This window comes from Homo sapiens, chromosome 19 (genome assembly GCF_000001405.40).
Source record: "Homo sapiens chromosome 19, GRCh38.p14 Primary Assembly".
Lineage (NCBI taxonomy): Eukaryota > Metazoa > Chordata > Mammalia > Primates > Hominidae > Homo > Homo sapiens.
The window spans coordinates 23580616-23605163 of record NC_000019.10 but is presented as its reverse complement, the minus strand read 5'-3'; the positions used below and the strand labels follow the sequence as shown (position 1 = coordinate 23605163).

The following is a 24548-nucleotide window of genomic DNA, read 5'->3' as shown; positions in this document are numbered from 1 at the left end:
GCCTGGGTGACAGGGTGAGACTCTGTCTCAAAACAAACAAACAAACAAACAAACAAAATAGCCCATATAGCCAGGACAATCTTAGGCAAAAAGAACAGAGCTGAAGGCATTACATTACCTGACTTCAAAGTATACTACAAGGCTACAGTAACTAAAACAAGAATGGTACCATTTCAAAAACAGACACATAGGCCACATAGAACAGAATAGAGAAATGAGAAATAAAACTGCGTGTCTACAACCATCTGATCTTCAACAAACTTGACAAAAACAAGCAATGGAAAAAATTTTTTTCTATTTAATAAATCATGCTGGGAGAACTGGCTAGCCATATGTAGAAAATTGAAACTGGACCTCTTCCTTATATCTCATAGAAAATAACTCAAGCTGAATTGAAGACTTAAATATAAGCCCAAAACTATAAGAACCCTGGAAAAGAATCTAGGCAATGCAATTGAGGACATAGGCATGGGGAAATATTTTATGATAAAATCATCAGAAGCATTTGCACAAAAAGCAAAAATTGATGAATTAGGATCTAATTAAACTAAAGAGCTTCTGCACATAAAAAGAAACTATCATCAGACCAAACAGACAACCTACAGAAAAGGAGAAAATTTTTGCAATCTATCTTACAAAGGTCTAATATCCAGAATCTAGAGGGAACTTACACAAATTTATAAGAAAAAAAACAAACAACCCTATAAAAAACTGGGCAAAGAACATGAACACTTTATTCTTTCTTGAGATGGAGTCTTGCTGTCACCCAGGCTGGAGTGCAGTGGCATGATCTTGGCTCACTGCAACCTCCTCCTCCTGGGTTCAAGTGATTCTCCTGCCTCAGCCTCCTGAATAGCTGGGACTACAGGCATGTGCCACCACGCCTAGCTAAGTTTTGTATTTTTAGTAGATACAGGGTTTCACCACGTTAGTCAGGCTGGTCTCGAACTCCTGACCTCATGGTCTGACCCCCCCCCCACCCTCGGCCTCCCAAAGTGCTGAGATTACAGGCGTGAGCCACTGCACCTGGCTGAACAAACACTTTTCAAAAGAAGACATACATGTAGCTAACAAACCTGTGAGAAAAAGCTCACCATCACTAATCATCAGAGAAATGCAAATCAAAACCACAATGAGATACCATTTCATGTCAGTCAGAATGGTGGTTATTAAAAAGTCAAGAAACAACAGATGCTGGCTATGTTGCAGAGAAACAGGAATGCTTATATACTGTTGGTAGGAATGTAAATTAGTTCAATTATTAGAAAAGACAGTGTGGCAATTCCTGAAAGATTTAAAACCAGAAACACCATTTGACCCAGCAACTCCATTCCTTGGTATATACTAAAAATAATATAAATCATTCTATTATAAAGATACATGCATGTGTATGTTCATTGCTGCACTATTCACAATAGCAAAAACATGATATCAACCCAAATGCCCATTAATGATAGACTAGTTAAAGAATACTTGGTACATATAAACAATGTAATACTATACAGCCATGAAAAGTAGTGAGATTATGTCCTTCACAGAGACATGAATGAAGCTCGAAGCCATTATCCTCAGCAAACTATCACAAGAACAGAAGGCAAAACACGTCCTGTTCTCACTTGTAAGTGCAAGCTAAACAATAAGAACACATGGACACCAGGAGAGAAGCAACACACACTGAGGCCTGTCAGGAGAGGGCAGGGTAGGAAGAGCATCAGGAAAAACAGCTAATGCACACCGGGCTTAATACTTAGGTGATGGGTTGATAGGTGCAGCTAACCACCATGGCACACATTTACCTATGTAACACATTCACCTATGTAACAAACTTGCACATCTACTCTGGAACATAAAATAAGAAAAAAATAATAATTTATTATATTTTTTTAAAATGCTAAGACAATGTCAATGTGGTCTCACCATAAAAATTTTAACTATGTGAGGTGAAGCATTAATTACCTAAAATTAAGCATTTAACAATGTATATATACTTTAAAACATCATGTTTTACAGAATAAATATGCTTATCTGTCAAGTTAAAAAGATATTTTAAAAATATTACAGAAGAATACCAGTGTGTAAAATACTGTCTCTTTGTCATTGATTTGGCTAAATAGTATCAAAAACATATGGTTTCTGTGCTGCTCCTGCCATTTAATTTCTCAGTCACAATCACAGAAACTCTGATATTTATCAGCATGTTCTGAACCCAGCACAGTGCATGGGAGAAGCCAATGTACATTAGGGCTTTTATTTTAAGCTTGAGGGCACATGAAGTTTTTGGTGCTGATAATAAAGGTATAAAAGACACTAAGAAAGCAGGTGTTGCTTATGGTCCCATAACAGGGCACTCTGTGAATACAGTAAACAAGTTTGCGTGCAAAATAACGGAAAATGTTTTAATCAAAAAGCTGCTATGATCTTTAAAATTTTTTCCAGAAAAAAAAAAAAATGAGCAAGGTGTTGGCTACAGTTAGGTGACGAAGAATAAAAACTGTAGACTGAACTTCATCCACTAAAAATCTTATATACAATAAGAGAAACTCCTCAAAATTGTAATATCAATATGAAACAGAAATATTATTTTGAATTTCAAATCCACAGGGTTCATTTTATTATTTTGCAAAATTTAACATTATCACTTAAAGACAAAAGATTCTGCATGAGAACATAAGTTGTGCTATATCATAAAAAATTAAATTAAAACTTTTTTACTTGTGAATAAGTCTTAAAAACTTAATTTGTAAGATATATTTTCTAACAAATTTTATATTTACACTTTGTGTAAGAATCTAATGAGATTTTTCTGTTACAAAGAAAAACAGTGCTAACTGATTTATTTCTCTCACCTGTGGACAGTGAATGCATTTTTTGTTTGTTTGCTTGTTTTGTTTTGTTTTGTTTTGAGACAGAGTCTCACTCTGTTGCCCAGACTGGAATGCAGTGGCGCGATCTCGGCTCACTGCAACCTCTGCCCCCTGGGGTTCAAGCGATTCTCCTGCCACAGCCTCCCGAGTAGCTGGGATTACAGGCACCTGCCACCATGCCGGGCTAATTTTTGTATTTTAGTAGAGACAGGGTTTCAGCATCTTGGCCAGGCTGGCCTTGAATTCTGACCTCATGATCCACCCACTTCAGCCTCCCAAAGTGCTGGGATTACAGGCATGAGCCACCGTGCCCAGCCGCCTCTTAATTAACTGATATGAAAGTTATATTGATAAGCTAATTCTTCAGTTAAAACTAATTTTTCAGTGCATTACTAAAATACCAACTTCCTTATCAAAACCTACAAAGTACAGTGTGAAATGACATGGCATGAAGACAACAGTGAGGATACTGTAGCTGTAACACAGAAAAAAAAAGGTCTGTGATGCATACATAGTTGGAATGCCGATAATGAGACAAACAAACATGAGATAATTTGGTAATATAAGAAGTAGAATTGGCCAGGCGCAGTGGCTCACACCTGTAATCCCAGCACTTTGGGAGGCCAAGGCAGGTGGATCACCTGAGGTCGGGAGTTCGAGACCAGCCTGACCAACATGGAGAAATCCCATCTCTACTAAAAATACAAAATTAGCCAGGCATGGTGGCACATACCTGTAATCCCAGCTACTCGGGAGGCTGAGGCAAGAGAATCGCTTGAACCCGAGAGACAGAGGTTGCAGTGAGCCGAGATCATGCCTTGTGCTCCAGCCTGGGTAACAAGAGCGAAACTCTATCTCAAAAATAAAAATAAAAAAAGCAGATTTTCTCTTTAAATTCAGCAAGAGTCAGCTGTGCAGCCAAAAAAAAAAAAAAAAAAAATCCTCTTCACATGACAAATCAACGTTATTTCTTCACCATTGATATTTTCTCTCTCTGACTTGAAGTTACAAACTAACTCCAGGAGGAATACTTATGGCTTATCATGAAGCATCTGCTACACAGCAAGCACTGCCATGTTCATTTGCTGCATTTATATACAAAAACATCCTCTTGACTTATGGAAGCCACCCTAGTACTTACCTGAACAAATTTGCTCAATAAATAAATAAATTAACTTATGACAATTTTAAAATCTGAAAGGAACAGTAACTAAATAAAAGTGGGCTTATATAGTATTCTCCAAGTAAAAGAACAGAATGGAATCTTCTAATTAAATAAAACATAACTTCATACACTAATTGTAAAATTACATCTACAAATTATTTTGTGTGCACTATTAAATTTCATAAAAATCATTATAATCCCTGACCAGCTCACATAATGAATACTGCATAAACTACAAAACAAAAAAAATAAGAAACAAGAAAATTATGGGTCTAGCAAAGAGTACCAAGCAAGTAAAACCAGGCAAATTGCATGGGGAGACTCTGAACCATAAGCCATACAATTTTAAAGAATTCAATACAAAGCAGACAGTATAGAATTGCTTTCCACATTTTTTAGGTTTTTAGTTTTCTACTAAATTAGTCGCCTTAATAAAAAAATTTATGGCTGGGCATGGTGGCTCACACCTGTAATCCCAACACTTTGGGAGGCCGAGGCAGGTGGATCACGAGGTTAGGAGATCGAGACCATCCTGGCTAACATGGTGAAACCCCATATCTACTAAAAATACAAAAAATTAGCCAGGCGTGGTGGCGGGTGCCTGTAGTCCCAGCTACTTGGGAGGCTGAGGCAGGAGAATGGCGTGAACCCAGGAGGAGGAGCTTGCAGTGAGCAGAGATCGCTCCACTGCACTCCAGCCTGGGCGACAGAGCGATATTCTGTCTCAAAAAAAAAAAAAAATTTATTGTTTTCTTCTGAAAATATGCCCTGACTCATACTTACACACACATTCATCATAATTTGCATATACCTAGTGTTATCTTTAAAATAATATATGTGTATATTTAACCTGATTGAAATCAAAACTAAAATTCTGTATGTATGTGTTTGCAGGCAGAGTTGCCACATGTTGAAAAATATATATATATAAAAAACAAATTTTTGAAAGTTTTTTTTAGGACTCAGATATGTATGAATTTTATTTATATAATTTTAATTATGACCATAAAATTTATCCTGTACTCAATAACAATTGTACATTTAAAAATAGCTAAAGGTGTAGAATTGGATTGTTTGTAATACAAAGAACAAATACTAGTGGTGATGGATACCTCATGTACTCTAATGTCGTTATTACATATTATATGCCTGTACCAAAATATGCCATTTATGTGGATCACTTGAGGTGAGGAGTTTGAGACCAGCCTGGCCAACATGGTGAGTCCCCATCTCTACTAAAAATACAAAAATTAGCTGGGCATGGTGGCAAGTGCCTGTAATCCCAGCTACTTGGGAGGCTGAGGCAGGAGAATTGCTTGAACCTGGGAGGCGGAGGTTACAGTGTGCCAAGATCATGCCACCACACTCCAGCCTGGGTGACAGAGTGGGACGCCATCTCAAAAAAAAAAAAAAAAAACACTTCATTGAATGTACAATAGATGTTACATTTTAAACAATGTTTTACTAGAAAATTAAATTCACATATAACTGAAAAATTTTTAAATGTACTGCATATTACATAAAAGTACAATTAATAAGTTACTGCTAATTTAATTAATTTTAACTAAAACTTAAAAAGTTTTTTTCACTATAGTGGACAAAAATATTACTCAGAACACCTACCTCATACATCACTTAACATTATAAGTTAACCATAATGAGCCTCTCTACTTAAATTTTCATTATGTGTTTTATATTTTAATGTTCTTACTCTTCCATGGAAAAGGTCATAAATAATGCCTACGTAATAAAAAAGAATCTCTTATATCTGTAATGCAGTAATATTTGATCACATGCTTTCACATGTAAATACAATAGGAATGGAGAGCATGAAGTAATTTGAGAGTTAAATTACATCATTATTTGCTTTTCAAAAAAATCTGTAATAATAAAAAAGTATACTTTGAATGTAATTATAACCCTACAAAAAATCTTCTACTTCTTTTAAAGTTATATACTAATAACTTATCAAATAATTTTAGTTTGGGATTATTTTCTATACTCAACTCTCTGATTTAATGTAATGTCTGAAGAGTAAGTGCCTTATTTCTACTGTGTATTCTCTGTGATTTACATAAAGTTAGTTTTGAAGTATTTTTTATATTTACTTCATTTACAAAAATATATCTTAGTATAAACTCTATGATGTTTTCTAAGCTGTAGTTTTTGAAATGTGTTTCTTTCAAATTCATTACATTTGCAGGGTTTTTCTCCAGTATAAATTTCCTGATATTGAACAAAGTTTGAGCAACTTCTTTAGGGTTTTCCTCTAGTATGAAATATATACAATAAGATCTGTGATACAAGTAAAGGTACTACTAAGGGAGGAGACCACCCCTCATATTGTTTTAAGCCCACTTTCTGCCTCCAAAGAAAGACAAAGTAAAAACTAAAAGGCAGAAATGAAATCCACGAGCAGACAGCTCGGTGCCACACCCTGGGCCTGGTAGTTAAAGATTGACCCCTGACCTAATCAGTTATGTTATCTATAGATTACAGACATTGTATAGAAAAGCACTGTGAAAATCCCTATCCTGTTTTGTTCCGATCTAATTACCGATGCATGCAGCCCCCAGTCATCTACCCCCTGCTTGCTCAATCATGACCCTCTCACGTGCACACCCTTAGAGTTGTGAGCCCTTAAAAGGGACAGGAATTGCTCACTCAGGGAGCTCGGCTCTTGAGACAGGAGTCTTGCCAATACCCCCTGCAGAATAAACCCCTTCCTTCTTTAACGCAGTGTCTGAGGAGTTTTGTCTGTGGCTCATCCTGCTACACTACAATCCTTTTTATATTTGTAAGGTTTGTCCTCAGAATAAATACTTTTTCACATTATAGGCTTATATTTTCTGAAAGACCTTTTAAGAGTAATTGCATTTATAATGCTTTTATTAAGTATGAACTCTCTGATGTTGAGTAAGATGTGAGCAGATATCAATGGCTTTTCTATAGTCTTTAAATTTATACAATTTTTCTCAAATATAAATGGTTTCCTGTGCAATAAGGTGTGAGCATTGGTTAAAGGTTTTGCCACATTCTTCACACTTGTAGAAGTTTTCTCCAGTATGAATTATCTTACCTACAATTAAGCATGACTACCATTTAAAGACTTTGTCATATTCCTCACATTTTTAGACTTTCTCACCAGTATGATTTCTTTTATGTTTAGAAAGGTTTGAGGTGTTGTCAAAAGCATTGTCACATCTTTCAGGTTTGTGAAGTTTTTCTCAAGTATGATCTGGGGACTTATTAAAGGCTTTGCCACATTCTTCACATTTGTAATTTCTCTTCAGTATGACTTACGTGTAGTAAGATGTGAGGAATGGTTACAGGCTTTGCCACATTCTTTACATTTGTAAGTTTTCTCTCCAGCATAAATTATTTTATGTTTAGCATGGATTGAGAGATGAGTAAAAGCTTTGCTACATTCTTCACATTTGTAGGTTTTCTCAAGTATGAATTATCTTACGTTCAGTAAGTTTTTTTTAATCCAAAATGTGTTTATTGAGATGGTTTCCCACTCATCTTGATTCAGAGTGCTTTTAGTGCTGCTTCCTCCTGAAGGAACATCCTTCTGTAAGCCTTGCTTTTCCTCCTGTAGGCTGGCAGAGGACAGTGGAGCAGCCAACACACAAAACTACCATTTGTGCATGACTAAAGACCGTGGTGACTTTATAGCATCCTGGGCATTTCACATCCATGAAGTAGGAATTGGGGCTCTGCACCAGGCGTTTCTTCTTGTGTTTCCTCTTCTCTTCTGGAGAGGGATGAAGGAGATCCTTTGTGAGAGGCATGTCCTCTTGTGGGAAGGTTGTCATCACCCGAAAGCTGTTCAGTAAGTTTTGAGGACCACTTAAAAGCATTGCCACATTCTTCAAATTCTAGAGTTTCTCTCCAGTATAAATTATCTTATGCTTAGTAAGGTTTGAGGACCATTTAAAGGCTTTGCCACATTCTTCACATTTGTAGGGTTTCTCTTCAGTATGAATTATCTTATGTACAGCAAGGTGTAAGGACCAGTTAAAGGCTTTGCTACATTCTTCACATTTGTAGGGTTTCTCTCCAGTTCTGAGTTATCTTATGTTCAGTAAGGTTTGAGGACCACTTATAAGCTCTGCCACATTCTTTACATTTGTAGGTTTTCTTTCCAGTATGAATTCCCTTATGGGTAGTAAGGTGTGAGTACTGGCTAAAAGATTTGCCACATTCTTTACATTTGTAGGTTTTCTCTGCAGTATGAATCATTTTATGTAAAGTAAGGTTTGAGGAGGAGTAAAAGGCTTTGCCACATTCTTCACATTTGTATAGTTTCTCTCCAGTATGAATTATCTTATGTCCAGTAATGTTTGAAGACCACTTAAAAGTTTTGCCACATTCTTCACATTTACAAGGTTTTTCTCCAATATGAATTATCTCATTTTCAGGAAGATTTGAAGACCACTTAAAATCTTTGCCAAATTCTTCACATTTGTAGTGTTTCTCTCTAGTAGGAATTCTCTTATGTTCAGTAAGATTTGAGGACTGTTTAAAAGCTTTGCCACATTCTTCACATTTGAACAGTGTCTTTTTAGTGTGAATTCTTTTATGTTGAGTGAGGGTCATGAACATTTAAAGACTTTGCTACATTCTTCACATGTGTAGGAATTCTCTCTAGTATGAATTTTCTTATGTTGAGTTAGGTGTGAAAGCATGCAAAATGATTTGCCACATTATTTACATTTGAAAGAATTTTTTCAGTATATCTTATTTTATTATTATTTGAATTTGGATATTTATAAAAGACTTTCACATATTTATCACCACGAAATATTTTGCTCTGGGTCGATGTCAAACATTGATTGCATCCATTATAACCTCCTTTGTGCATCCTACCATCATCCACACTTTTGCAGTTTTTTCTTAGTTGTAAATTCTCATCTCCACACTTTGCATATGTTCTCGGTATCAAGTTTTGGAAGGAATCTTTCATGCCCTGCTCTGGCCACAGGTCTTGAGCAAAATGAGAACACGTAACTGAAAGAAATAAAAATAACAAATTACTCCAGTTGCTAGACTCAGATAAATATACTTCACTAATCTAACCTATAAAATTGTACAAACTACATAAGCAAGATGGCACAGCAAAATACCACAGGCCCTAATTCTTTTATAGACATATACATGTAACAAAAACATACTGACCAAAATACACTTGCAGAAAATTTATAAATGGGTTAACTGTGTGCAATGCCCAGGTAAAAACAATGTAAAGAGCCACATAGAAAGATTGTGTTACAGTTACGCAACACAGCTTTTCCTGATCCCTAAGATAACAAAGCTTTTTTAGCAGTAAATTGCTGGCTGGTCATGATGGCTAACACCTGTAATCCAAGCCCTTTGGGAGGCAGAGAAAGGTGGATCACCCAAGGTCAGAATTTTGAAACCAACCTAGACAAAATAGCAAAAGCTCATCTCTACTAAAAATTTAAAAATTTGCCAGGTATGGTGGCATACACCTGTAATCCCAGTTACTCTGAAGGCTGAGGCATGAGAATCACTTGAACTTGGGAGGTGGAGGTTGCAGTGAGCCAAGATCTCACCACTGCACTTCAGCCTGGGTGACAGAGCAAGACTCTGTCTTTAAAAAAAAAAAAGTAATTGCCAACTCCTGGTTTCTTTTTTTTTTTTTTTTTTCCATTTAACCCTGAGTGGACACAGCACATGTTTCAGAGAGCACAGGATTGGGGGTAAGGTCATAGATCAACAGGATCCCAAGGCAGAAGAATTTTTCTTAGTACAGAACAAAATGAAAAGTCTCCCATGTCTACTTCTTTCTACACAGACACAGCAACCATCCGATTTCTCAATCTTTTCCCCACGTTTCCCCCTTTTCTATTCCACAAAACCGCCATTGTCATCATGGCCCGTTCTCAATGAGCTGTTGGGTACACCTCCCAGACGGGGTGGTGGCCGGGCAGAGGGGGCTCCTCACTTCCCAGTAGGGGCGGCCGGGCAGAGGTGCCCCCCACCTCCCGGACGGGGCGGCTGGCCGGGCGGGGGAGCTGACCCCCCCACCTCCCTCCCAGATGGGGCGGCTGGCCGGGCGGGGAGGCTGACCCCCCACCTCCCTCCCGGACGGGGCGGCTGGCTGGGTGGGGGCTGACCCCCACCTCCCTCCCGGACGGGGTGGCTGCCGGGCGGAGACGATCCTCACTTCCCAGACAGGGTGGCTGCCGGGCGGAGGGGCTCCTCACTTCTCAGACGGGGCAGCTGCCGGGCGGAGGGTCTCCTCACTTCTCAGACGGGGGGGCCGGGCAGAGACGCTCCTCATCTCCCAGATGGGGTCGCGGCCGGGCAGAGGCGCTCCTCACATCCCAGACGGGGCGGCGGGGCAGAGGTGCTCCCCACATCTCAGACGATGGGCGGCCAGGCAGAGACGCTCCTCACTTCCTAGATGGGATGGCAGCCGGGCAGAGATGCTCCTCACTTTCCAGACTGGGCAGCCAGGCAGAGGGGCTCCTCACATCCCAGACGATGGGTGGCTGGGCAGAGAGGATCCTCACTTCCCAGATGGGGTGGCGGCCAGGCAGAGGCTGCAATCTCGGCACTTTGGGAAGCCAAGGCAGGAGGCTGGGAGGTGGAGGTTGTAGTGAGCCGAGATCATGCCACTGCACTCCAGCCTGGGCACCATTGAGCACTGAGTTAACGAGACTCTGTCTGCAATCCCGGCACCTCGGGAGGCCGAGGCTGGCGGATCACTTGCAGTTAGGAGCTGGAGACCAGCCCAGCCAACACAGTGAAACCCCGTTTCCACCAAAAAAATATGAAAACCAGTCAGGCGTGGCGGCGCGTGCCTGCAATCGCAGGCACTCGGCAGGCTGAGGCAGGAGAATCAGGCAGGGAGGTTGCAGTGAGCTGAGATGGCGGCAGTACAGTCCAGCTTCGGCTCGGCATCAGAGGGAGACCGTGGAAAGAGAGGGAGAGGGAGACCGTGGGGAGAGGGAGAGGGAGAGGGAGAGTCCTGGTTTCTTTTTTAAAAGATGGGAAAAATACTGGCACGTACATATTTATTTCTGGCTTCAAGGGGCCTTTCCAGACCCTAGTTTCTTCCCTGCATTACATAAAGTGGTGAAAGAAATGATGGGATACTTTGGAATGACAGTTTGAGTCTGCTGAGACCAAATGTAAATGTTATAGCAGCAGAGAGACTGCAGTATCACATACAGGAAACACATGTAGCAAGTGATTACTGACTATTAAAACAGAAATAAACTTTTTTTTTTTTTTTGAGACAGAGTCTCACTCTGGAGTGAGGCTGGAGTGCAGCAGCGTGACCTTGGCTCACTGCAACCTCTGCCTCCTGGGTTCAAGCAATTCTCCTGCCTCAGCCTCCCTAGTAGCTGGGACTATAGGCACGTGCCACCACACCTGGCTAATTTTTTGTATTTTTAGTAGAGGCGGGGTTTCACAGTGTTAGCCAGGATGGTCTGGAACTCCTGACCTCGTGATCCACCCTCCTTGGCCTCCCAAAGTGCTGGGAATACAGACCTGAGCCACCTCGCTCGGCCTTCATTACTTTTAATGGCAAAACTGTGATTACTTTTGCACGAGCCTAATAGTTTACATTCCCACCAGCAGTGTAGAAGTGCTCCCTTTTCACCACATCAATGTGAACATGTAATATTTTTTTGATATTTTAATTATGGTCATTCTTGCAGAAGGTGGTATCACTTTATTGTTTTAACTTGTATTTCCCTGATAATTAGGGATATTGAGGATTTTTTCATGTTTGTTGGCCATCTGTATATCTTCTTAGAATTGACTATTCATGTTCTTAGCCAACTTTTTGATGGAATTATTAGTTTTATTGCTGACTGTTTGAGCTCCTTGTAGATTCTGGATATTATTCCTTTGTCAGATGAATAGTTTATAAAAGTTTTCTCCCACTTGTGCATTTTAGTTTAAGGCCCATTGATTTATCTTTGTTTTTGTTGCATTTGCTGTTAGGTTCTTGGTCATGAACCTTTGCCTAAGCCGATGTCTAGAATCATTTTTCTGATGGTATCTTCTACAATTTTTATAGTTTCAGACCTTACATTTAAGTGATTGATCCATCTTAAGTTGAATTTTTATAAGGTGAGAGATGAGTTTCCAGTTTTATTCTTCTACATATGGCTTGCCAATTATCCCAGCAACATTTGTTGAATAGAGTGTCCTTTCTCCCACTTTATGTTCTTATTTACTTTGTCAAAAAAGTTGGCTGTAAGTATTTGGCTCTATTTCTGGGTTCACTATTCTGTTCCATTGGTCTACCTGCCTGTTTTTCTACCAGTACCATGCTGTTTTGGTAACTATAGCCTTGTCATATGATTTGACATCAAGTAACATGATGCCTTCAGATTGTTCTTTTTACTTAGTGTTGTTTTGTCTATGTGGGCTTTTTTTTTTGGTTCCATATGAATTTTAGGATTGTTTTTTCTAGTTCTGTGAATAATAATGATGACATTTTGATGGAAATTGCATGAAATTTGTATACAGATTTTGGCAGTATGGTTATTTTTACAATATTGACTCTACCCATCCATGAGCATGGGGTGTGTTTTTGTGTTATGTATGATTTTTTTCAGCAGTGTTTTGTGGTTTGCCTTGTAGGGACATTTTACCTCATTGGTTAAGTATATTCCTAATTTTATTTATTTATTTATTTAGAGACAGAGTCTTACTCTTTCACCCAGGCTGGAGTGCAGTGGCGTGATCTCAGCTTACTGCAAACTCCACCTCCCAGGTTCAAGCAATTCTAGTGCCTCAGCCTCCCAAGTAGCTTGGATTATAGGAATGCACCACCACGCCTGGCTAATTTTTGTATAGAGGGGGTTTTGCCATGTTGTCCAGGCTGGTCTCAAACTTCTGAGCTCAAGCAATCCTCAGCCTCACAAAGTGCTGGGATTACAAACGTGAGCCACCGCACTCGGCCCTAATTATTTTATATTTTTTGCAGCTGTTGTAATAGGGTTTCGGTTCTTTACTGGATTTTCAGCTTAGTAGCTGTTTATGTTTTGCAGTGCTATTGATTTGTGTACATTTATTTTGTATCCTGAAACTTTACTGGACTTATTTAACAGATCTAGAAGTTATTTGGATGAGTCTTTAGGGCTTTCTAGGTATACAATCATACGCATCAGTAAACAGTGACAGTTTGACTTCTTTACTAATTTAAATGCCATCTATTTCTTTCTTTTGTCTGATTGCTCTGGCTAGGACCTCCAGTATTATGTTGAATAGAAGTGGTGAGAGTGAGAGTGGGCATCCTTGTCTTTTTTTTTTTTTTTTTTTTTTTTTTTTTGAGACGGAGTCTCGCTCTGTTGCCCAGGCCGGACTGCGGACTGCAGTGGCGCAATCTCGGCTCACTGCAAGCTCCGCTTCCCGGGTTCACGCCATTCTCCTGCCTCAGCCTCCCGAGTAGCTGGGACTACAGGCGCCCGCCACCGCGCCCGGCTAATTTTTTGTATTTTTAGTAGAGACGGGGTTTCACCTTGTTAGCCAGGATGGTCTCGATCTCCTGACCTCATGATCCACCCGCCTTGGCCTCCCAAAGTGCTGGGATTACAGGCGTGAGCCACCGTGCCCGGCCTATCCTTGTCTTATTTCAGTTCACAGAGGGAATGCTTCCAATTTTTCCCCATTCAGTGTAATGTTTTCTTTGGGTTTGTCATAGATGGCTTTCATTATGTTAAGGTATGTCCCTTCTATGCTGATATTGCTGAGGGTCTTAATCTTAAAAAGGTACCGGATTTTATCAAATGCTTTTTTTGCATCTATTGAGATGATTGTATAATTTTTGTTTTGAATTTTATTTGTGGTCTATTACATTTATCCCTGCATCCCTGGTATAAAATGCACTTGACCATGGTGTATTATCTTATTGATATGCTGTTGTGTTTGGCTAGCTAGTATTTTGTTGACAATTTTTTAAATTCATTTTCATCAGGAACATTGGAGTGCAGCTTTCTTTTTGTGTTATGTCCTATCCTGGTTTTCATATTCAGGTGATATTGGCTTCATATAATAATTTAGGAAGGATTTCCACTTTCTATACTTTTTGGAGTAGTTTCAGTAGGATTGGTACCAATTCATCTTTGAATGTCTGATAGAATTCACCTGTAAATTCATCTGGTCCTGGACTTTTTTGTTAATGACAATTTTTTAAATTGCTGTTTCAATCCTACTACTTGTTATCGGTCTGTTCAGAGTGCCTATTTCTTTGTAGTTTAATCTAGGTGGGTTATATTTTTTCCAAGAATTATTGTTTCTAGGTTTTCTAGTTTGTGCACATAAAGGTGTTCTTAGTAGCCTTGAATAATCTTTTGTATTTCTGTGGTATTGGTTGTAATATCTCCCGTTTTGTTTCTAATTGAGCTTATTTGGAGCTTCTCTCTCTGCTTCTTTTAGTTAATCTCACTAATGGCATATCAGTTTTGTTTATCTTTTCAAAGAACCAGATTCTTGTTTTATCTTTTGTGGTTTTGTTTCAATTTTATTCAGTTTTTCTCTGATTTTATTCAGATTTTTGTTATTTCTTTTCTTCTGCCGGGTTTGAGTTTGATTTGTTCTTTCTCTAGTTTCTTGGTGTATGCTTACATTGAGTCTCTTGTAGACAGCAGCTACTTGTTGTAGGGATTCCTATTTATTCTGCTATTCTGTATTTTTAAAGCGAAGCACTTTTGCCAGTTACATTCAACATTAGTAGTGAGAAGTGAGGTACTGCTGGATTCATCATGCCAGCTGTTGCCTGAATATCTTGATATTTTTCTTTGTGTTACTGTTTTATAGGTCCTGTAAGATTTATGAATTAAGGAGAGTCTACTCGTGTATATTTTGAGGTTTTGTTTCAAGATTTAGATATCCTTTCAGCATTTCTTGTAGTGCTGAGTTGGCAGTGGCAAATTCTCTCAGCATCTGTTTCTGTGAAAGAGAGTTTATCTCTTCTTCATTTATATTCCTTTATCTCACTGGATTCAAAATTCTTGGCTGATAATTATTTTGTTTAAGGAGGCTAAAGATAGAATGCCAATCCCTTCTCACTTGTAATATTTCTGCTGAAAAGTCTGCTGTTAATCTGGTAGGTTTTTATTTATAGGTAACCTGATGCTTTCACCTCACAGCTCTTAAGATTATTTTCTTCATCTTGACATTAGATAACCTGATGACTACAGCCTAGGTAATTATCTTTTTGTAATGAATTTCCTGGGGGCTCTTTGAGCTTTTTGTATCTGAATGTGTAAATCTCTAGCAAAGCTATGGAAGTTTTGTTGTTGTTGTTGTTGTTTTATTATTATTATTCCCTCAAATAAGTCTTCCTGGCTGGGCACAGTGACTCATGCCTGTAATCCCAGCACTTGTGGAGGCCAAGGTGGGTGGATCACATGACATCATGAGTTCTAGACTAGCCTGACCAATATGTTGAAACCCCATCTTTACTAAAAATACAAAAATTAGCCAGGTGTGGTGGCAGGCACCTGTATTCCCAGCTACTCGGGTGGCTGAGGCAGGAAAATCACATGAACCTGGGAGGCAGAGGTTGCAGTGACCCAAGGTCATGCCTCTGCACTCCAGCTGGGGTGACAGAGTGAGAGTTCATCTCAAAAAGTTTTAAAAAAGAAAACAATTTTCTTTAAAAATTTCAATAAGATGCAAAGAACACAGATAACTAAAAAATTTTTAGGAAACAACACAGAAACAAAATTAGAAACAATACATAAGTAGGCCAAGCATGGTGGCCCACACCTATAATAATAAAACTTTGGGATGCTGAGGCAGGAGCATTACTTGGGACCAGGAGTTCAAGACCAACCTGGCCAACACAGCAAAATGACATCTCATGTTTTTTATACATATATATATATATATATATATATATATATAGAGAGAGAGAGAGAGAGAGAGAGAGAGAGAGAGAGAAATAAAAACCATAAAAATGACCACACAAAAATCCTGCAGTTAAGGTAAACAATGGCAGAACTGAAGAAGTGTAGTAGAAAATTTTAACAGGAGACTCAATTATAAAAAAGAAAATTCAACAAACTCAAAAACTTGTCATTTGAAAGTAATCAATCATAAAGTGAACAAATTGACACATTTTAGAATTTTCAGAAGAAGACAGAGAAAAAGAATAAAGGAGATTGAAAGACATAATGTCTGAAAACTTTCCAAATCTAGGCTGAGCCTTGTGGCTCACATCTGTAATCCCAGCACTCTGAGAGGCCAAGGTGGGTGCATGGCTTGAGCTTAAGTGTTTGAGACCAGCCTGGGCAATATGACAAAATCCCATCTCTACAAAAAAATACAAAAATTAGCCAGGCAGGGTGGCACATGCCTTTAGTTTCAGCTACTTGGGTGGCAGATGTGGGAAGATCACTTGAGCCTGAAAAGCAGAGGTTGCAGTGAGCTGAGATCATGCCACTGCACTTCAGCTTGGGGGACAGAGTGAGCCCCTGTCTCAAAGAAAATCTTTCTAAATTTAGAGAAGGATATGAACATCCAGTTTTATGAAGCTCAATTTATCCACAGAAAAAAAATATAAACCTAGTAAATATTACCCTAGAACACAATATCATTAAATTGTCAACATTCACAGATAAAGCACAAATCTTGAAAACAGGAAGAGATAAGAGATTCTTTACATACAAGAGAAACTTTATGTAATCAGTGGATTTTTCAGCAAAAATATTGCAAACCAGAAGATTCAATTATATATTTAAAATGCTGAAAGAAGAAAAGAAAAACCTGACAACTGAAAAGACTATATCCAATAAAGCTGTCCTTTAGCCATAAAACAGATCAAGACATTTCAAGACAAAGGAAAAAGGTGAGGAAATTTATCACCACTCAACCTGTCTTACAAGAAATGATACAGGGAATTCTTCACATTAAAATGATGGAATCAGAACTAACAATATGAAAAACATTAAAGTATAAATGTCACTGGAAATGATAAGTATATAGTGAAATTCAGAATATTGTAATGGTTTTGTAAAAATACTTTAAACTCTAAAATAAGATCTATACAAAAAGTATTAAAAATACAGTGACAATAATTTTTTAATGAATACACAACATAAAAAGTTATAAAGTATGACTATATAGTATTAAGTGTGTAAAAGAAGAAAATGTGTACAGTTTTTACATACACAGAAGTTAAATTGTTATCATCCTAAACTAGACTATTAAAATCCCAGCACTTTGAGAGACTGAGATGGGAGAATTACTTGAGCTCAGGAGTTTGATACCAGCCTGAGCAACATAATGAGACATTTCTCTATGAAAAAAATAGCTGGCTGTTGTGGAGCATGCCTGTAGTCTCAGCCACCTAGGTGGCTGAGATGGGAGGACTGCTTGAGCCCAGGAAGTTGAGGCTACAGAGGGCTGTGACTCACACTGATATACCACTGTGTTCTAGCTTGGGCAACAAAGCATAACCCTGTCTTGACACAAACTAACAAAACCATAGGAAAGACAGGACAAGAATAAAATATTTTTTAAAATTTAAATAAACAGAAAAAACAAAATCACAATAGTAACTTATTAATAGTAACCTATCACTATTTTACATATAAAGAAAATAAATTATCCAATAAACAGACACTGCTACTATACACAATGTCATCTCCACATTTTAGGTTAAAATTAAATAGCCATTGTAATAGAATTAAAAGGTGGGACCTTTAAGAATTGATTAGGCCATAAGCAATCTAACCCTCATAAATGGATAAATGTTCTTATCATGAGATGGGTTAATTATATCAAGAGGTTCTCTTATAAAAGGAAGCTGTCTCTTCCTCATGCCTTTGGCTATGTTATTATGCAGAACAAGGCCTTCAACAGATGCCAGTGTCATATTCTTTGCCATCTCAGCCTCCAGAATCATGAGGCAAATAAATTTTTGCTTTTCATAAAATACTTAGTCTGTGATACACTGATATAGCAACAAACAACACAATGAAAAAGAGTGACCAACTCACTTTTTAAAAGCCCATTGATATGCTGCCTAAAAGAGACTCCCTTTTGATTTAAGGACAAGCATAGGCCAAAAGTGAAAGGATGAAAAAAGATATTCCATGAAAATGATAATCAAAAGTGTGCAATGGTAGTTATTGCTAAATTAGACAAAAAAGACTTCCTAGCAACATCTATCACAAGAGTCAAATGAGTTTACCATGCAATAATAAAGAAGTTAATTTGTCAAGAGGATATAGTAATTAAAAATATGTATGCTCCCAGCACTGGAGCTTCTAAATATATAAAGCAAATATTCACAAAACTGTAGGGAGAAGTAGACAGAAATACAATAAAACTTTAATACCTTACTCAAAACAACAGACAGATCATTCAAACAGAAATCTACTAAGAAAACAGTGTAGTTGTATACCACTATAGACTAAATAGATGATATGCACATAACATTTCATTCAACAGTATGAGAATACACATTCATCTCAAAAATACATGAAATATTCTCCCAGCCTGGCCAACATGGTGAAACCTCATCATCATGGAAAATACAGACATTGGGTGGGCTTGGTGGTGCGCACCAGTAGTTTCAGCTACGTGGGAGGATGAGGCAGAAAAACTGCTTGATCTGGGGAGATGGAGGTCATAGTGAGTCAAGAATGCACCCATGCACTCCAGCCTGGGCGACAGAGCAAGAGAGAACAACAACAACAAAAATAACAAAGTAAAAATAAAAACAAAAAATTACATAAAATATTTTTCAGGAGTAATTATACTTTGAGAAATTATAATTTCAGGAGGTCACAGTGAGTCAAGACTGCACCCATGCACTCCAGCCTGGGCGACAGAGCAAGAGAGAACAACAACAACAAAAATAACAAAATAAAAATAAAAACAAAAAATTACATAAAATATTTTTCAGGAGTAATTATACTTTGAGAAATTATAATTTCAGGAGGTCACAGTGAGTCAAGACTGCACCCATGCACTCCAGCCTGGGCAACAGGGCAAGACAGAGCAAAGAAAAAAATAACAAAATGAAAATAAAAATAAAAAATACATAAAATATCTTTCAGGAGAAATTATACATTAAACCAGAAATAAACAGGCTTTTTCAAATTTAAGAAGGTGAAAATTATGTTGTTTTTATTCTGATCACAATGGCATAAAACTAGAAAAAAATAGCAAGAAGAGAATTAGAAAACTCAAAACATGTGGCTACTAAACAACATGCTCCTAAACAACAAATGACAGTCAAAGAAGAAATTAGAGGGAAAATAAGAAAGCACCCTGGGCCAGGCACAATGGCTCACGCCTGTAATCCAGCACTTCAAGAGGCTGAGGTGGGTGGATCACGAGATCAGGAGATCGAGACCATCCTGGCTAACACAGTGAGACCCTGTCTCTAGTAAAAATACAAAAAATCAGCCGGGCATGGTGGCATGCGCCTGTAGTCCTAGCTACTTGGGAGGCTGAGGCAAGAGAATCGCTTCAACCTGAGAGGCAGAGGTTACAGTGAGTCGAAATTGCACCACTGCACTGCAGCCTGGGTGATAGAGCGAGACCCCATCTCAAAAAAAAAAAAAGCACCCTGATATAAATCAAATTCAACACACAAGGACCCAAAACTTCTTGGATACAAGAAAAGCAGTTTTTTGTTTGTTTGTTTGTTTGTTTCTTTTCTTTTCTTTTCTTTTCTTTTTTTTTTGAGGCAGAGTCTCACAGTGTTGCCTAGGCTGGAGTGCAGTGACATGATCTTGGCTCACTGCAACCTCTGCCTCCTGGGTTCCAGCAATTCTCCTGCCTCAGCCTCCCAAGTAGCTGGGATCACAGGCACCCGACATCACACCAGGCTTTTGGGGTTTTTTTGTATTTTAGTAGAGACAAGGTTTCACCATGTTGCCCAGGCTGGTCTCGAACTCCTGAGTTCAGGCAGTCTACCCATCTCAGCCTCCCAAAGTGCTAGGATTACAGGCGTGAGGCGCTGTGCCTGGCCCAGACCAGTTACTTTTTATTTAATTTTTTTAATTTATTTTATTTTATTTTTTTGAGACGGAGTCTCGCTCTGTCCCCCAGGCTGGAGTGCAGTGATGCAATCTGGGCTCACTGCAATCTCTGCCTCCTGGGTTCACACCATTCTCCTGCCTCAGCCTCCTGAGTAGAGTAGCTGGGACTGCAGGCGTGTGCCACCATGCCCAGCTAATTTTTGTATTTTTAGTAGAGATGGGGTTTCACCATGTTGGCCAGTCTGGTCTCAAACTCCTGACCTCAAATGATCCACCCACCTCAGCCTCTCGAAGTGCTGGGATTACAGGTGCAAGCCACCACGACTGGCCAGAGCAGTTTTTATAATTGAGAAGATTAATAAAAACAATAAAGCAGCAGGCCAGGTGCAGTGGCTCATGCCTGTAATCCCAACACTTTGGGAGGCCACGGCAGGCAAATCACGAGGTCAGGAGATTGAGACCATCCTGGCTAACACGGTGAAACCCCATCGCTACTAAAAACACAAAAAATTAGTTGGGCATGGTGGTGGGTGCCTGTAGTCCCAGCTGCTCGGGAGGCTGAGACAGGAGAATAGCTTGAACTCAGGAGACGGAGGTTGCAGTGAGCTGAGATCACGCCATTGCACTCCAGCCTAGATGACAGAGCGAGACACCATCTCAAAAAAAAAAAAAAAGGCAGCAACACAAAATTGATCAAATGATGTTTACATTTTATGCACACATCATAGAAATGGTGACTATATACACATGAAAAGTGAGAGAGTAGAACAGTTCTGTATAAATAAAATTAAATGTTTTAAATTGTTTAACAATTATAACATTCTTTGTAGATCTATTTTTGTGTTTTGTGCTTGTAATTGAAGATCAAAACATGCAATAATATAAAGTAAAATAAGAGCTATTATTAGTTGTATATTTTTTATTTTATTTTTATTTTTATTTTTTATTTTTTGGAGATGGAGTTTCACTCTTGTCCCCCAGGCTGGAGTGCAATGGCACGATCTTGGTTCACTGCAACCTCTGCCTCCTGGGTTCAAGCAATTCTCCTGCCTCAGCCTCCTGAGTAGCTGGGATTACAGGTGTGCGCCACCATGCAGGGCTAATTTTTGTATTATTAGTAGAGACGAGGTTTCACCATATTGGCCAGGCTGGTCTCGGACTCCTGACCTCAGGTGATCCACTGAGTCAGATTTTTTTTTAATGTTTTGCTTTGTTTATTTTATGTGCCATAGTATGTTTTAGAATTTTAAGACAATAGATATATTGATTATATATTTTTTCTTTGTCCCTAAAATTACAGAGAATAAAGTATATGCTTGTGAAATGAAGGTGAAATTAAATGGAAACCTAAACAACTGAGACCTGTTTCAGAACTTCCAGTTTCAAAAGCTGCTATCTATAGTTGACAAATAGGAAAGTATTTATTCTCCAAAGTAAGATATAAGAAAAAAAAGAAATAGGAGTTTTTAAATTAAATTTGATAATTTATACACCTCAGTAAATCCCCCTTCCAAGATACTCATTATTGATAAAGAAAAAAATAACTAACTTTATAGTGAAGGAATTTGGCAGAAAACACCTTAGCCAGATGAATAAATTTAGCATCAGCTGTAATGAGACAAACCAGATTTAGGGGCCAATGCACAGATGGGCCCATTATGAGACTGATACGCTGTCTATTGCACTAAGAAGGCACTTAGGTGGGCCCTTTATTACTGCTGTGATATTGATGGAGAGAAAAGTACATAATCATCTGAATCTACTCAGGAGAAAATACAACCTGTAAGGGAAGACGCAGGTGATGGTATTTCTTCAAACTGGTCATGTGGTCTTAACTGGATGCCTGGGCTGAGAACCACTTAGCTGACCATTCCCTCTCAAGCTTCAATGTGCATATAGGTCATTTGGTATTCTGGGCCCTTCTCTAACTAATGTGATCCTGCACGTTTTGAAGGGGTCCAGGAATTGGCTTGTTTAAAAAAAGTTCCCCATAGGCCGCATGTGGTGGCTTACGCCTATATTCCCAGCTCTTTGGGAGGCCGAGGCAGGTGGATCATCTGAGGTCAGGAGTTTGAGACCAGCCTGACCAACAAGGTGAACCTCCGTCTCTACTAAAAATACAAAAATTAGCTGGGCATGGTGGCAGGTACCTTTAGTCCCAGCTACTCGGAAGGCTGAGACAGGAGAATTGCTTGAACCTGGGAGGTGGAGTTTGCAGTGAGCCAAAATCATGCCACTGCACTCCAACCTGGGCGACAGAGCGAGATTCCGTCTCAAAAAAAAAAAAAATTCCCTGTTAATGCTGATATTGCTCTCCAGCTCTCAGAGAAAGCAGGAATAACACACAAAGTCCCTTACATACAATATTCTTATTGAAACATGAATATTTTTTGTTTACAGTGAAAACCACTAATCACCATCCCAAAAGATCACATTTTTTGCCAGCTATTTGAAGTCTACAGAAGGCTGGAGAATGCATTTTGAAACATGTACACATGTGTTAATGCAATGTTTATTGAGCTCATACTATGTGCTCACAAGTATGCTGTGGTGTGTTGTGCTGGGAAACTCACCTGGTGTGAGTTAAACCTCAAAAAATTCTGTGAAGTAGGTATTAAGTGTCCCATAATTTCTAGCAGGATTTAGACGATGGTTCAGGCTGTTTGTTTTCTTTTTTTTGAGATGGAGTTTCACTCTTGTTGGTGCAATGGTGCAATCTCAGCTCACTGCGACCTCCTCCTCCCAGGTTCAAGTGATTCTCCTCCTTCAGCCTCCCGAGTAGCTGGGATTACAGGGATGTGCCACCATGCCTGGCTAATTTTGTATTTTAAACAGAGACTGGGTTTCTCCATGTTAGCCAGGATGGTCTTGAACTCCTGACCTCAGGTGATCCGCCCACCTCGGCCTCCCAAAGTTTTGACATTACAGGCGTGAACCACGGCACCCAGCCCTGTTTGTTTTCTTATCACTATGAAACCTAAATACAGAAGATAAAAGGGATACAGAAATGAAGGCTTAAGTAGAGGTCCAAAAGACTTTTAATTGTTGTGTTTATATTTTCTTTCTCATAACATGTAGAAAAACTATTGGATTTGCAGAAGTGTAAAACAGGTTGCTGTATGAAATGTCTCTAGAAGCACTGGTTTCAATAAGAAAGAAAGAAATTAAGGCTCCAAATAAATAATCCTTTGCTCCCATTTATTCGTTTTTGGGTCTAGGAAAATCGTGAGATCCAGCTCTGAAGAGATACCAAGAGTTGCCACACATAAATCCGATCTCCTCTAATCAGTTCTGTGAGGGAGATATCAGGGTGAGGCCAGACCTGGACAAGGCTCAGAAGAGGGTAGAGCTGGGTAGGGCTGGGGCAGGGAGCTGGCCCTCAGCTTCTCATCTCTATGCTGCTGGCTTATTTTCAGTTCTCCATTCTAAGCCTGACCAATAAGAACTTGACTCCCAGAACTTTTCTGATTTAAACGATTTAAGCCTCATCCTATCTATTTTGCATGATACAATAGCAACCAATTTTACCAAATCATGTAGGTCTTTCTAAAAAATTACATTGAAGCTGGGCATGGTGGCTCATGCCTGTAATCCCAGCACTTTAGGAGGCCAAGGCAGGTGAATCACGAGGTCAGGAGTTCGAGACCAGCCTGGCCAATACAGTGAAACCCTGTCTCTAATAAAAATGCAAAAATTAGCTGGGCATGGAGGTGGGCACCTGTAGTCCCAGCTACTTAGGAGGTTGAGGCAGGAGAATTGCTTGAACCCAGGAGGCAGAGGTAGCAGGTGGTTGAGATCATACCACTGCACTCCAGCCTGGGCAACAGAGTGAGACTTCATCTCAAATAAAAAAAAAAATAATAATAATAAAGAAAATTACATAGAAAACTATTTATTCTTGTCAAGTGAAAAGAAATAGAAATAATAATTGCCACAACTTTTCTGTCCATGGGTGGCCCTTCAGGTGGTGACATCAGAACTCACAACCACAACATACAATTAGTGTCCCAAATGAAGCCCAAGTTCTCTATACAACTCCCTTCTCTGTTCTGATCGCATTACTCTAAATTAAATAATTTATCCATTGGCTCTAGAATAAAAATTCCTTGATGGTAGGGTCCATGACTGCTTCACCTGTTCTTCTCATGGCCAAATAAAATGGAAACAATTTGTTAACCTATCAGTTTGGGCCTCCAGACCTCCTACTTGTTCTCCACCCAAATATCAGGAAATAGGAGCAACTCCTATTTGGACACCAAATAAGGAGATACCTTCTGTGATGGGAGAAAGAAGCCCTGGATTACTCATTCTTTTATGAGATGGGAGGAAGATTGGACTTGTCAGCCTGACCCTTGTCTGCACAGTACATCCCTAAATGTCTCAAGGACTCCTAGGTGCTAGTGAGAGGGTCTGCAGTGGCCCTGGGCTGATGCTTCAACAGTTATTCAAACAGAGGAGACTCAGGCTGACTCTGTGGAGCCAGAATAAAAAATAGAACAACCCCTAATTCTCGATCCAGATCTGATA

The 24548-nt window shown here is 39.0% G+C and overlaps 3 pseudogenes; all 3 read right to left on the bottom strand.

Moving 5' to 3' along the window:
* Positions 2045–2597, bottom strand: VN1R93P (vomeronasal 1 receptor 93 pseudogene; annotated as a pseudogene).
* Positions 7515–7857, bottom strand: RPS27P29 (ribosomal protein S27 pseudogene 29; annotated as a pseudogene).
* Positions 8066–9045, bottom strand: LOC100131479 (zinc finger protein 430 pseudogene; annotated as a pseudogene).